The sequence below is a fragment of the Homo sapiens genome, chromosome 2, assembly GCF_000001405.40.
Source record: "Homo sapiens chromosome 2, GRCh38.p14 Primary Assembly".
Lineage (NCBI taxonomy): Eukaryota > Metazoa > Chordata > Mammalia > Primates > Hominidae > Homo > Homo sapiens.
In genome coordinates this window covers 96481670-96496746 of record NC_000002.12, presented here as the reverse complement: position 1 = coordinate 96496746, position 15077 = coordinate 96481670, and the positions used below count along the sequence as shown (strand labels likewise).

The 15077-nt window shown below is 43.0% G+C and overlaps 4 annotated features.

Annotated features, from left to right (window-relative positions):
- Positions 3112–3771: an enhancer, noted in NCBI's record as "NANOG-H3K27ac hESC enhancer chr2:97158713-97159372 (GRCh37/hg19 assembly coordinates)". NCBI's record gives its function as "activates a minimal SCP1, AML or CMV promoter by ChIP-STARR-seq in naive H9 embryonic stem cells {active_cell/tissue: H9 hESC(naive)}" and the evidence as "EXISTENCE:reporter gene assay evidence [ECO:0000049][PMID:30033119]".
- Positions 10298–10947: an enhancer, noted in NCBI's record as "active region_16217". NCBI's record gives its function as "activates an Ori minimal core promoter by ATAC-STARR-seq in GM12878 lymphoblastoid cells {active_cell/tissue: GM12878}" and the evidence as "EXISTENCE:reporter gene assay evidence [ECO:0000049][PMID:35858748]".
- Positions 10298–11325: a biological region, named in NCBI's record as "H3K4me1 hESC enhancer GRCh37_chr2:97151159-97151851".
- Positions 10633–11325: an enhancer, noted in NCBI's record as "H3K4me1 hESC enhancer chr2:97151159-97151851 (GRCh37/hg19 assembly coordinates)". NCBI's record gives its function as "activates a minimal SCP1, AML or CMV promoter by ChIP-STARR-seq in primed H9 embryonic stem cells {active_cell/tissue: H9 hESC(primed)}" and the evidence as "EXISTENCE:reporter gene assay evidence [ECO:0000049][PMID:30033119]".

The following is a 15077-nucleotide window of genomic DNA, read 5'->3' as shown; positions in this document are numbered from 1 at the left end:
TCTTATTTTTCCCCCCTATGCCCAGACAGCTTCAAGGTGAGGGCAGTACTTTAATCCTAATTCCAGTGAACACTACCTTATTAGGTAACATCTAGAAAGCCTGATTTTAGAAAACATCTCTAACCAGAGGTGGACCTTCTGGAATGGTGGAGTAAGGAAGGACTTCTGTAAACCCATTGTTCCATAAAAACAACAAAAATACTGGCAAAATTACCAAAATCAACTTTTTCAGAACTCTAGAAATTAACCAGAGGCTAACAATAATCTGAAGGATGCTTATCTGAGATAAACTGCTGTACTTTGGTAAGAACAGTGGGGTTTGTGTGGTTAACTCCTCCCATCCCTCTGCCTCTAGCTCCACAGTAGTCCTGAAAACCAGCAGCCTTGAAGCCACTCAGGGTGGATGGACAGACTCAGTTGGGAGCTCCTCGGGAAGCTCCATCCCTAGACTATTGTCACTATCTGAACTACATCTTCGTTCTCTGGAAAAGTTTCATTTACAGGGCGTTGTCATTCTTTAACCCTACTTGGGGCCCTCTCCATGGGAAACCCCTATCCCTGGGACATTTGCCAAGCATAATCAGTTTCAATTGTTTAACATTACAGCTGCCTAAGTCTGTGATACTAGCTGAGGCAAACAAGAGCCTGGCCAGAGATTTAAAAGGAAGATCTGTGAAACGAGACGTCCGTAGAGAACTTTGAAAAGTTATGATATACTCCTGGGTATCTACAAGACTGTGTACACACTCAGGAAAGACTAAGAGGACCCCAATCTCTCACTTTGGCTGACCTTGAGGCCCTGTGAAAGTAGGAAGCGAAGGGTAAGGCAGAGTTAGAAACTTCCTGAGCATTGAAGGTGTGCCCCAACCCACAAACAGAGCTCCTTGTCAAAAGGTGGAAGATTTACTAGCTCAAGGCATTTAAGGAAATCTCTGTCTGATCATTAGCTGACCACTAATCTAACTGGGCAGAGACTTCAGTTGGCTACACATTACGAGGAGTGTAGACTTTACGGAATTAGTCCAGGAAAGTGAGCAAAAAACAACAGAAAAACAACAACAACAAAAGCCCCACAGAAACAGCAGCAACAAACTGGCAACGACAACAAGCCCTGGAAGAGTGAGTGTCTGATTATCAGGGCTTCCAAATTATATTACCTAAAGAGCTCTAGTTTTTAAAGAAAAATTATGAGATCTGCAAAGAAATAAGAAAGTATTGCCTATGCACAGGAAAAAATCAGTCACTAGAAACTGTCCCTGAGACAGCCTTGATGTTAGATTTACTAGACAAAACCTTTAAATCAGCTGTTATGAATATGTTCCGTGAGCTAAAGGAAGCCATGTCTAAAAAAATTTTTTTAAGTATGTCAATCATGTCTCACCAAATACAGAATATCAATCTATCAGAAAGATAAAAAACCAACCAAATAGAAATTCTGGAGTTGGAAAGTACAATACTTGAAGAAAAATTCACTAATACCAGCGGGGTCCAATAGCAGATTTAGGCTGGCAGGAGAAAGGATCAATGAACTTGAAGACAGGTTAATAGAGATGATTATGATTTAGTCTGAGGTATAGAAGGAAAAAAAGAAGAATGAACAAGCCCCAGAGACCTATGAGACACAGTCAAATGCACCAACATACATGTAAAGGGAGTACCAGAAAGAGAACAGGAAGATAAGGGGGAAGAAAGAAATTGTATAAGTAAAGTCCAAAGAGTTTTCAAATTTTCTAGGGGAAAAAAAATCTATATATATATCTATATGTACATATTTGAGACAGAATCTCACTCTGTCACCCAAGTGGGAGTGCGGTGGTGAGAGCTCAGCTTACTGCATCCTCTGCCTCCCGGGTTCAAGCAATTCTCCTGCCTCAGCCTCCCAAGTAGCTGGGATTACAGGTGTGCACCACGAGGCCCAGCTAATTTTTGTATTTTTAGTAGAGACAGGGTTTTACCATGTTGGCCCACCTGGTCTTGAACTCCTGACCTCAGGTAATTCACCTACCTCAGCCTCCCAAAGTGTTGGAATTACAGGCGTGAGCCACCACGCCTGGCCAATTTTCTGAAAATATTAATCTATACATCCAAGAAGCTCAATGAACTCCAAGTTGGATTACTTAAAGGCTGGTCCTCACTCTAATGTGCTACTCTGCCTCCACCCTAAGAAGGATAAACTGAAAGAGATCCACACCAAGGTATATCGTAGTCAAATTGTCAAAAACCAAAGACAATGGAATCTTTAAAGCCTCAAAAAAAAAAAAACCACTTAATTGCATACAAGTTATCCTCAATAACAACTAACTTCTCATCAGAAATCATGGGGACCAGAAGACAGTGGAATGATGTAAGTACTGGAGGAAAAGGACTGTGAACCAAAAATTCTGTATCCAGCAAAACTGTCCTTCAAAAGTGAAGAAGAAATTAAGATATTCCCAGATAAACAAGAACAGAAAATTCATTACCAGTACATGTGCTCTACAAGAAATATTCCCATATTTCTTTCCCATATTTCTTTAAGACTGAAATGAAAGGAATGATCTCTAACATTTCTCTAATTTTATAGATAGGAAAACTGAGGGGCAGGTAGAAGGAATCATCTTATAAATGATGGGATAAGAATTAGATCCTTGTTATAACCACACTGATGCAATCATTTCTTCATTCATCAAATTAATTCCAAGAATATTGAAACATCTGACTCTAGAAGCCATCTTAGTATGAGCACAGACTTGCCTATGTCCTTGGGAGCAATACTGGGGAATAAATAATTATATTCAATGTGGTAAGTGTTAGAATAGCTTATACTGGCTGGGTGCGGTGGCTGACGCCTGTAATCCCAGCACTTTGGGAGGCTGAGGCAGGCAGATCACAAGGTCAGGAGTGTGAGACCAGCTTGGCCAATATGGTGAAACCCTGTCTCTACTAAAAATACAAAAATTAGCCAGGCGTGGTGGCGCACGCCTGTAGTCCCAGCTACTCAGGAAGCTGAGGCAGAAGACTCGCTTGAACCTGAGAGGCAGAGGTTGCAGTGAGCCAAGATCATGCCACTGCACTCCAGCCTGGGCGACAGAGTGAGACTCTGTCAAAAAAAAAAAAAGCCTATACTAAGAGCTTTTCAACTTCCATTTCAAGATGATAGACTGAGCACATGTAGTTGTTTCCTTTTATTCCAAGTCTCTATACATTGCTCAGAATGATTTAAACAAATATATTTCTTCCCTATAAAACAATATAGGGAAAATCTGGTGAACTAAAACCACAATAAAAGGTGGAAAACAGGTGGGATCAGATTAAATATGGAAACCGTGCCAGAGGAGAGGACTGCCGCAAAAGGTGAGAGCAGCTCTAGGAATGCTTCAAACTCAGGACTTGTGAACTGGGAACCGCAGGTGGTCCATGATCGACTGACCGTGACTGGTAGAGGCTCACAGAATAGACAGCCAGGAATGTTCACCTCAGGCCACACAGTGAGTCACAGAGGTGTCTTCCCATGGGCAGGATCAGTGAGAGGTGAACAATTGGGTGTGAGGCAAGACAAAGCCCCAGAGATTAACAGCTCCCAAGGATAGCAGGAAGCTTCCACATCTGGAAGTTTCACCATTGGCTCATGCTGCCCAGCAGCACATCCCATCCCTTCATTCCACTTTACACAGGTACACCAAGTCATAGCTGCATGTCCTGCACCTGTCTGCAAGCAGGCCACTTAGGCTAACAAGGAATTTCAGATCCAAAGGTGAACTCACAGCCAAGAAAAGCCAAATATTTGAAAAAAGTGAATATCATGATGGAAAGGACTGACAGCAAAAGGAGTTCATACCTGAAAAAATAGGGTTAATAAAGCATACAAACCTGGGCTTTAGGATAACTATAATCACATATGAAAGGATATTGCATTGAAAAATCTAGATACCTTTGGAATTAGAAGCTTGACTATTAAAATTTAAAATAACTTATTTGATAGAGTGAGTAGCAGAAAGTATGTAGCTGAAAAATGTATTAATGATCTGGAATCAACCAGAATGCATTCCAAAATTAACAAGAGATGAAATATATAAAAAGAGAATAAACAGAATAGATGAAGTTCAAATAACCATCCAATGTGAATTCCAGAAGAAAAAAATAGAGAAAATGGACAAAAGAGAAACTCAAAGAAAGATTAGAGCTGGGCATGGTGGCTCATGCCTATAATCCCAGCACTTTGGGAGGCCAAGGTGGGAGGATCGCTTGTGGCCAGGAGTTCAAGACCAGCCTGGCCAACATATAAGACTCCCATCTCTACCAGAAATAAAAATAAAAGAACAATTTCTCAGAATTGAAGAAAGACATAGCTTTTCAGATTGAAAAAGCCCCCCAGTTGCCAAACAGAATAAGTGAAGAAAAGACTTTCATTTTGACACATACTGGTGACATTTCAGAGTACCAGGGATAAACAGAAAACCCAAGAAGAAAAAAAAAACACCCCAAAACAGATCACACACAAAAGTATTAGAATCACATTATCAGTAGGCTTTTTCTCAGCAATACTTGGTACAGAATGACAATAGAACAATATCTTCAAAGTTCAGGGGGATTTTCTTTAATTGAAGCATATTTACTATAATAATATGCACATATCTTTTTTTTTTCTTTTTGAGACAAGGTCTCACTCTGTCATCCAGGCTGGAGTGCAGTGGCACAATCATGGCTCACTGCAGCCTCCGCCTCCCTGGCCTCAGGTGATCCTCCCACCTCAGCCTTCAGAGTAAGCTGGGACTACAGGCACATGCTGCCACACCTGACTAATTTTTTAATATTTAGTACAGATGAGATCTTGCAATATTGCCCAGGCTGGTCTTGAACTCCTGGGCCCAAGTGATCCACTTGTGTTGGTTTCCCAAAGTACTGAGATTATAGGCATGAGCCACTGTGCCTGGCCTATGCACAGATCTTAAGTCCCCATTTTGATGAGGAAATAATTTTGAAATCTAAAATTCTGCAGACAGCGACTCTCTCATTCAAAGGTGAGCGTAAAATGAAGAAATATTCAGATATAAAAAGACTCAAAGTTTATCATTTAACAGATACTTTATAGGCAAATTATTAGAAGAATCACTTCAGAAAAAAGAAAAAACAAGAAAAATTAGTATGATTGTAACCATTAAAAGCAAAAAAAGTTGAATCTAAGTAAATGTTAATTGTAAAAAATTAATAATAATTTGAAATGAAAACCACAGATGATATCAACATGGGTGGAATGGCAAAAATAAAAAGCATGCTAAGGTTCTTTTCTTATCAAGAAGAGGGTTTTTAAAATTTTTTTAGTTTTTTTGAGACAGAGTCTTGCTCTTGTTGCCCAGGCTGGAGTGTAACATTATGATCTTGGCTCACTGCAACCTCTGCCTCCTGGGTTCAAGCAATTCTCCTGCCTCAGCCTCCCGAGTAGCTAGGATTATAGGTGCCTGCCACCATGCCTGGCTAATTTTTGTATCTTTAGTAGACAAGGTTTCACCATGTTGGCCAGGCTGGTCTTGAACTCTTGACCTCAGGTGATTTGCCCGCCTTGGCCTCCCAAAGTGCTGGGATTACAGGTGTGAGCTACCACACCTGGCTAGGAAGAAGTTATTTTTAACAATATAAATGAGAAAAAAATAAGTTTAATTTGTATGGTAAAGAACATACAAACAAAATGTAGAACTACAAATAAAATATATAAATTCCAAATCATGTGAAAATAATAGAACTTCAATTCCTGCATCCCAACAAAAGTCAGGAAATTGGATAAAAGGATTTTTAAAAATGTATATAGTCTAGCCCTGTCATCCAGGCTGGCACAATCGTAGCTCACTGCAGCCTCAAATTCCTGGGCTCCAGCTATCCTCTTGCCTCAGCCTCCCAAGCAGCTGGTACTCCAGGCATGTGCTACCATGCCTGGCTTCTTATTTTGTTTTATTTTTTATTTTTATTTGTAGAGACTGAGTCTCAATATGTTGCCTAGGCTGGTCTCAAACTCTTAACCTCAAGTGATCCTCTGACTTCAGCCTTCTGAATAGCTGGGATTGCAGGTGCAAGCCACTGCACCTGCTGAGACAACACACTTTCTGATTTTGAATTATACTACAAAGCTATAGTAATCAATACAGTATGGTACTGGCATAAAAACAGAAAAATAGATCCATAAAACAGAATAAGGATCCTAGAAATAAACCCATGCATATATGATCAACTTATCTTCAACAAAGCACCAAGAATACAGAATAGGGAAGCGACAGTCTCTTCAATCAATGGTATGGAGAAAACTGGATAGCCACATGAAAAAGGATAAAATTGGACCCTATCTTACACTATGCACAAAAGTCTACTGAAAATGGATTAGACTTAAATGTAAGACCTGAAACCGTAAAACTCCTAGAAGAATGATTTTTTGGATATGACATCTAAAGCATGAGTAACAAAAGCAAAAACAAGTGGGACTGCATCAAACTAAAAAGCTTCTGCATAGCAAAGGAAACAATCAACAAACTGAAAAGGCCACAGTAGAAAATATTTGCAATATTTTGTATACAATAAGGGGTTAATATCCAAAATATATAAGGGACTCATATGACTCAATATTAGAAAAACAAATAACCTGATTTAAAACTGGGCAAAAGACCTGAATAGACATTTCTCCAAAGAAGACATAACAATGGCCAATACGTATATTAAAAGGTGTTCAATATCACTAATCATCAAGAAAACTGCAAATAAAATCCACAATGAGATATCACCTCACACCTGTTAGAATGTCTAATGTCAGAAAGTCAAAAGATAACAAGTGGTTGTGAGGATATGAAGAAACAGGAACCCTTATATACTGCTGGTGGGGATACAGACTGCTACAGTCATTATGAAAAACAGTGCGTTTCCAATTGCATGGCTTAAAAAATAGGAACACAGTATGCAGGTTCCTCAAAAAATTAAGAATAGAACTATCATATGATCTAACAGTCTCACTTCTGAGTATGTATCTGAAGGAAATAGAAGCAGGATCTTGAAGAGATGGCTGCCCTGCTATGTTCACTCCAGCATTATTCACAATAGTCAAGATATGGAAACAACCTAAGTGTCCATTGATAGGTGAATGGATAAAGAAAATGTTATATCTATGTATTTATTTTTCAGCCTTAAAAAAAGGAAATCCCGTCATTTACAACAACATGGTTGAACCCGGAGGACATTATGCCAAATGAAATAAGCCAGACACGAAAAAGCTGAACTCATAGAAACAGAGTAGAAGGGTGGTTACTAGGAGATGGTGGTGGGGAAAATGGGGAGATGTTGATCAAAGGGCACAAACTTTCAGTTATAAGATGAGTAAGTTCTGAAGACCTAAATGTATAACATGGCCACTATAGTTAATAATAATAAGGTATTGTATACTTGAAATTTGCTAGGCTAGTGGATCTTAAATGTTCTCACCACACCTCCAAAATGGTAACTATATGAGATGATGGATATGTTAATTAGCTTGATTATGGTAATCACTTCACAATATATACATATATCATATATACATTTATCAAAACATTATATCGTATACCTTAAGTATATACAATTTTATCTGTCAATCATAGCTTAACAGAGCAGAATGAAGTAAAGAGACACACACACACACATATATATACACACACACATATATATATACACACACACACATATATATATATATATATTTTTTTTTTTGAGTCAGAGTCTTGCTCTGTTGGTCAGGCTGGAGTGCAGTGGCATGATCTTGGCTCACTGCAACCTCTGTCTTCTGGGTTCAAGCGATTCTCCTGCCTCAGCCTCCTGAGTAGCTGGGATTGCAGGCGCCCGCCACCACATCCAGCTAATTTTTGTATTTTTAGTAGAGACAGGGTTTCACCATGTTGGCCAGGCTGGTCTCGAACTCCTGACCTCAGGTGATCCTCCTGCCTCGGCCTCCCGAAGTCCTAGGATTACAGGTGTGAGTCACCACGCCTGGCCACATGTATTTTTTAAAGCCATAAAGGAGAGATTGATAAATTTGATTACGCAGGATTTTTTTAAAAGCTTATGTGTGACAAAAGATACCATGAATAAAACTAAGAAGCAAGATAATAGATGGGAAGTAGAGACTTTCAACACATATAACAGAATGGAATGATGTTGAAACTTACAAAACACTTACTCCTACAATCAATAAGAAAAGCACAGATAGCTCACAGTGAGTGTCCAAGATCACATACGGAGAAATCAATCCAATCACTTATGGGGTCAATAAACATGAGAATAAACTTTGCAAGAGCCTGGGAAGTGCAAATTAAGACAGCAGCAAGACACCAACAAAATAGAACTTGGTTGGATGGTGAAATGGTGAAAGGGTACAACATTTCAGTTAGAAAACTTTTACACTGCCGGGCAAGGTGGCACAGGCCTGTAATCCCAGCACTTTGGGAGGCTGAGACAGGAGGATCACTTAAGCCCAGGAGTTCAAGTCCAATCTGGGCAACATAGGGGGACCTTATCTCTACAAAAAAATTAAAAAATTGGCCAGGTGTGGTGGCCTGTGCCTGTGGTCCCAGCTACTTGGGAGGCTGAGGTGGGAGGATTGCCTGAGCCCAGGAGATTGAGGCTGCAGAGAGCTATGATCATGCCACTGCACTCCAGCCTGGATGGCAGAGTGAGACCCTGTTCAAAACAAAATCAAAAACAAACAAAAAAGAAATCAATTACACAAAAACATTGGAGGCATTATCTACTAAAATTTAAACTATTCATACACTATCGCCCACCAGTGTCTACTCCAGAAAGTCACTCACTGCTTGCAAGAATGACCTGGCAGCAATTCTCATGACAGGAAAGCACTTGGAAACAAACTTTATATATTTACCAATAGGAAAGTGGTTATATCAACCATGGTTTATCCATATTATAGAACATTGTGCTGTGGTTCCAAGGAATAAGTTTTTATTTTTTGATTTTTTTACTTTATTTTGTTTGGAACTAGGGTCTCACTCTGTCACCCAGACTGGAGTGCAGTGGCGTGATTATAGCTCACTACAGCCTCCGCCTCCTGGGCTCATGCAATCCTCCCACCTCAGCCTCCCAAGTAGCTGGGACAACAGGTGGGCACCACCACATCTGGCTAATTTTTTAAATTTTTTGTAGAGACAGGATCTTGCTGTGTTGCTCAGGCTGGTCCTGAACTCCTTGGGCTCAAGCAATCCTCCTACTTCAGCCTCCCAAAGGTTGGGATGACAGGTGTGAGCCACTGCATCCAGCCCAAGGAATACGTTTTCATTATGTTTCTGACATACAGGATGTAGCATACAGTAAATGTCATGAATATAAAAATGCATAAAATAATGTGTGTGTGTGTTGGTATATGAATGGCAAAGGGTCCAGGAGGGTAAGAGAAGTGACCCTGGGAAAGGACTGGGATGGGGATGTGATTGGGAGGACTTGAACATTTCACTGGCATGTGGGGACTTTTTTTTTTTTTTTTTTAACAATGAGAATGAGCTTACATATTGGTTAAAAAGCCAAAAACAGTTGCTTTGGGAAACAGTGGTGGCTCCTCAAAAACTTAAACACAGAAGGACTGTATGAGCCAGCGATTCCACTCCTACATATATACCCAAGGGAATTGGAAACACTTCCACACACAATTTGTACACAAATGTTGATGGAAGAATTATTCATAATGGCCCCAAGGTAGAAATGAATATTATTTGATCCTTAAAAAGGAATGAAATACTGATTCAGGCTACATCATGATGAGCCTTGAAAATGTTATGCTAAGAGAAGGAAACTAGTCACCAAAGGCCATATATGCACGATTCCATCCATATGAAATGTCTACAATAGGCAAATCCAGAAACAGAAAGTAGATTAGTGGGTTTCAGAGGCTGGGGAGAGGCAGAAATGAGGAGTGACAACTAAAGGGTACGGAGTTTCTTTTTAGGGTGAGGAAAATATCCTGAAATTAATTATGCTGATAGTTGCACAACTTTGTGAATAGAATACTAAAAACCATTGAACTGTGCATTTAAAAAAGACGAATATTATGATAATGTGAGTTACATCTCAATTAAAAAGTTATCCAAAACAAAACCTCTCCAAAATAGACAAAGAAGCGCTAGTGGGGAAAAAAGAGGAAGACGATATTAGCCCTGGCAGCAGGAACAGCTGAAGAGGAGATGCCTTTTGAGCTGGTCCTACAGGGAGAGTTTGGAAGGCAGAGGGGAATGGATGCCGGTCTTCCAGACAGCAGGCGCGGCACATGCAGAGATGGCAAAGGCAAGGTGTGCTGGGGGAGCTACGAGGAGGTGAGGAGGTCGGATTGGCCCAAGCAAAAGCGGGGGGGAGAGGCGAGAGGGAAGCGAGATGGGCCTGCCCTAGGAGCGCTCTACCGGCTGCGTGAGTGGCGGTGCCCGTGCCATCCCTGGGGCTGCAGGAGGTCTGATCTGCCAGGGCCTCGGCCAGCCAGCAACTCACAGTGCTTGTAAGGCAGGCTGGGAGAGAGGCAGGCTGCGGCTAAGTTTCGCTTTCCTAGAAGCCTGAGATCACAGGTTCCCTTGACGTGAGGTCACTGGAGTAAAACAATGGAGGAAGCGTGTAATGAATCATTATCACAGGGGCAGAATACACGCAGTAAAAAGAAAGTAGAACTGCAACCAGGGATCTTTAGCGTCCTGTAAGCGGAGGCCTGCCCGGGCTGGCTCCAGGGACCTGCTACGGGGCTTTCCTGCAGATATGGGAAAATTCCCTCGTCCAGACTTTCACATCAGGCTTTCTGTTAGATCAATTGGAGAGGGAAGGGGGAGACCGGGTCCACCATGTCACCTGCCCCTGGCGCCCATCGCACACAGGGCCCCAGCGTGCTGTCCTCATGAGGCCTCGCCAGCATTACTCCCTGATGGCACTCCTCTCGCAACCCCCACCCCCACCCCTGCACTGCACGCCCTGACCCCCCTGCTGATCAACTGTTGAAGAAATTCCACTTGGAAGAAGTCTACAGTGGGGACTGGGGGTCCCGCGTGTGGGGGATGACTCCTAAGCCTGGAGGCAGAGGGAAGAGAACCGCGCACGGTCCCTTCCTCCACAGACCTGCACAGCAGATTAGCCTCTGCTGCCAGCTGCCCTGCTCCCCAGTCCCTTCCTTTGAAGGAATGGGTGGTAGGATCTCCACAGGAATCTAGAGGTGGTGCCTCTGTGGTTTTCTGGCGCAGCCAGCTTGTTTCTCTCAGATCTGTGTGAAGTGCGAGGGGCACAGCAGGGGGTGACATTCTCATTTTATAGCCAGGAAACTGAGGCGCAGAGGCTTTGTGTGACTTGCCTGCAGCCACACAGCAGCCCATGGTATGGTTGGGACCAGATCTGGAATCGCTGAATCCCAGCCAAGACTCCCTTCTGCCTCAAGCTGAGCCATTTATGGCTTGACATGGAGGCGGATCACCTGAACAGTCCCCATTCCCCACAAAGTTCTCAACAAAAAAAGGGCCAACTTGGACACAGTGATTGAGATGGAGACTGACCACGAGAGGAGGGCACTTCCTAATCCCCGTTTCTGGCCCTAAACATCTTCCTGGCTTTCTGTTCAGGACCCCTCCTGACTCCCTCAAATGCTCTTGGATTCCGCTGACTTAAAGGATCAAATACATTTTGGCTCCTTGCCTGTCTCCCCCCAGGAGTATGTGCAGTCCTGGGGCTGACAGGGACTTGGAAGGAGAAGCCCAAGTGTCTTATTCCTTTTTTTGTTTGTTTGTTTGTTTTTTACTGTTAGAACACCACAGACTGGGCAATTTATAAAGAAAAGGGTTTATTTGGTTCATAGCTCTGGGAAGTCCAAGGGCATGGCTCTGGCATCTAGCGAGGGCCTTCATATTGAGTTATCCCAAGGTGGAAGGTGGAGGGTAGGAGGGAAGATGGGGACTGAACTTCACCCTTTTATCAGGAACCCATTCCCTCAGTGACTAGCTCACTCCTGCAATAACAATATTGTTTCACTCATGAGGGCAGAGGCTTCATGGCCTAATCACCCATCTCTTAAGGTCTTCACAATGGTAATTAAATTTCAACATGAGTTTTGGAGGGGACATTCAACCACAGCACCAAGTATTATATTGGAGGGAATAGACTGCCTGTCCTTTCCCTAAATTGAGACTAAGAGGATATGACCATTGGCTAAAATGGGGGGAGGCAGGCCCTTGGGTTACCCTAAGGTAGAACCCTTTTAAAATATTTGTGAGGAGAGAGGGTCCCATACCTGTGTAGCAAATGTGTGTTCTCCCAGTCACAAGGAGATGTCAGGAAGTGTGTGTCCTCTTGGGGGATAGACTGGGGGCTGGCCTCTGAGAGGCCCAAGGCTGGCTTTTTCACCCCCAGTGAATGTATGAGGCCCAGAAATTCGATGCTGTCAGCACGCAGTGGGAGCAGCTGTCACCCCTACTCCTTGGGGTAAAGCCGAGAGAAGTGTGAAACAGCCCACATGCCCATGGCAGCTGTAGAAAGGCCCTGCTCAGACTCCTGCTGTGAGGAGCACAGTTGACAGACCCAGCCTGTCGTGAGCTTCCCTCCGCCTCATCCTTCCTGACGCCATGCTTCTCCAATCTTTGATGTGGGAGCACCAGATAGAAGTACAGGGAGGCGGTATCTGGGCATCCCCTTTCCTGGGGGATGTGGGATGCCTGTAATGGTGACATTGTTTAGAGGACTCCTTATCAGCCTGGCCCAACAATTCCCAGAATGGCCCTGCAGCCCTAGACTCTTCCTGTCCACCCTCTTTCCTTCCCCTCTCCTTTCCCAGGCATCTGAGTGCAACATTCTCCAGCTCACCCCCCTGTCTCCTTCATAGGCATTTCCCCCAGTCAGTGTCTCATATGTCCAACTTCGTCTTGGTATCTGCTTCTGGGAAGACCCAACTTCTACAGTGTCCAACAAAAGAATGGATGAACTGCCGTGTGGTCATGCAGTGAATGAGCTAGAGCTATGAGTGTCACATAGACAAATCTCAAAAATATCATGTTTAACTGGAAAAACCACATCGCAGAAGGGGGCTTCAGATAGATCCCTGCTCCCAACCCACCAGCTGCTCTAAGCACTTCACGCGTAGTTACGCATTTGATGCTCACACCAACACTCAGCATCATCCCCACTTTGCAGATGAAAATATCTAGGTAAATCACCTCACTGTGCCTTGATTTCCTCATCTGTAAGATGGGGATGACAATAATGCCTCCTTCATCACATGATACTGTGAGCATTAAACAAGCGCAAAACATTGAGTGTTGCTCCTGCTGTATCGCTAGCTTCTTTCGTCGCCGTCATTTGTATTTCCTGATTAATTCTGTTTTCCTGTCTGGAAGGCCACATCTTCCTTAGATATTTAATTGCTATTGTTGTAGTGTCCATATCTTGCTCATGGTTTTCTCTGGCTTTAAGGTCCTTCATGCCAACAAAAGCTGGGAAAGGGTCGTGGGAAGAGATGGAGTGTCTGGGAGGGGCATGACCTAGTCATGAATTCTTTAGCTGAATTACATCAGAGGCACCAGGCCTCACAGTGGCCAGGAGGGCTTGTTTGTGTGCTTTCTGGGTGGGGAATGAAGGGGCTGCCCAGGGCCAGGAGGCGAGGCTGCCAGGTGGGCTGAGGACCACCTGTGCCTATCCGCGAGGCTGGGAGCCAACAGGGAGAAATGGCAATGCAGCACCTACTGTGTGCTGGGCCCTTTCCATTCAAGCTCTCGTTTCATCCTCACAACTGTCCCCTTTTCTGGAGGAAAACCGAGGTTACTGGAAGAGGAGGAGCCACCATGGAACTCAGGTCCATCTGGCTCTAGGTGAAAAGTTTTTTCTTTGAGACTGAGTCTGGCTCTGTCGCCCAGACTAGAGTGCAGTGGTGCGATCTTGGCTCACTGCAACCTCTGCCTCCCGGGTTCAAGCGATTCTTGTGCCTTAGCCGCCTCCTGAGTAGGTGGGACTACAGATGCATGCCACCATGCCCAGCTAATTTTTGTATGTTTAGTAGAGATGGGTTTCTTTCTTTCTTTCTTTCTTTCTTTCTTTCTTTCTTTCTTTTTCTTCTTTCTTTCTTTTCTTTTTCTTTCTTTCTTTTTCTTCTTTCTTTCTTCTCTTTCATTCTTTCTCTTTCCCTCCCTTCCTTCTCTCCTTCCTTCTGTCTTTCTCTCTTTCTCTCTCTCTTTCTTTTCTTTCTTTCTTTCTCTTTCTTTGTTTCCTTTCTTTCTTTCCTTCCTTCCTTCGTTCCTTCCTTCCTTCCTTTCTTTCTTCTTTCTCTTTCTTTCTTTTTCTTCTTTCTTTCTTCTCTTTCATTCTTTCTCTTTCCCTCCCTTCCTTCTCTCCTTCCTTCTGTCTCTCTCTCTCTCTTTCTTTTCTTTCTTTCTCTTTCTTTGTTTCCTTTCTTTCTTTCCTTCCTTCCTTCGTTCCTTCCTTCCTTCCTTTCTTTCTTTCTTCTTTCTTTCTTTTCTTTTTCTTTCTTTCTTTTTCTTCTTTCTTTCTTCTCTTTCATTCTTTCTCTTTCCCTCCCTTCCTTCTCTCCTTCCTTCTGTCTTTCTCTTTCTCTTTCTCTCTCTCTCTCTTTTCTTTCTTTCTCTTTGTTTTCCTTCCTTCCCTTCCTTCCTTCCTTCCTTCCTTCCTTCCTTCCTTCCTTCCTTCCTTCCTTCCTTCCTTCCTTCCTTCCTTCCTTCTTTCTTTCTTTCTTTCTTTCTTTCTTTCTTTCTTTCTTTCTTTCTTTCTTTCTTTCTTTCTTTCTTTCTTTCTTTCTTTCTTTCTTTCTTTCTTTCTTTCTTTCTTTCCAGACAGAGTCTCGCTCTGTTGCCCAGACTGGAGTGCAGTGGCACAATCTCGGCTCACTGCAGACTCCGCCTCCCAGGTTCAAGCAATTCTCCTGCCTCAGCCTCCCGAGTAGCTGGGATTACAGGTATGCACCCTCACGCCCAGCTACTTTTTGTATCTTTTGTAGAGTCAGAGTTTCACCATGTTAACCAGGCTGGTCTCAAACTCCTGACCTCAAGTGATCCGCCTGCCTCAGCCTCCCAAAGTGCTAGGATTACAGGCATGAGCCACCATTCCCGGCTGCATTC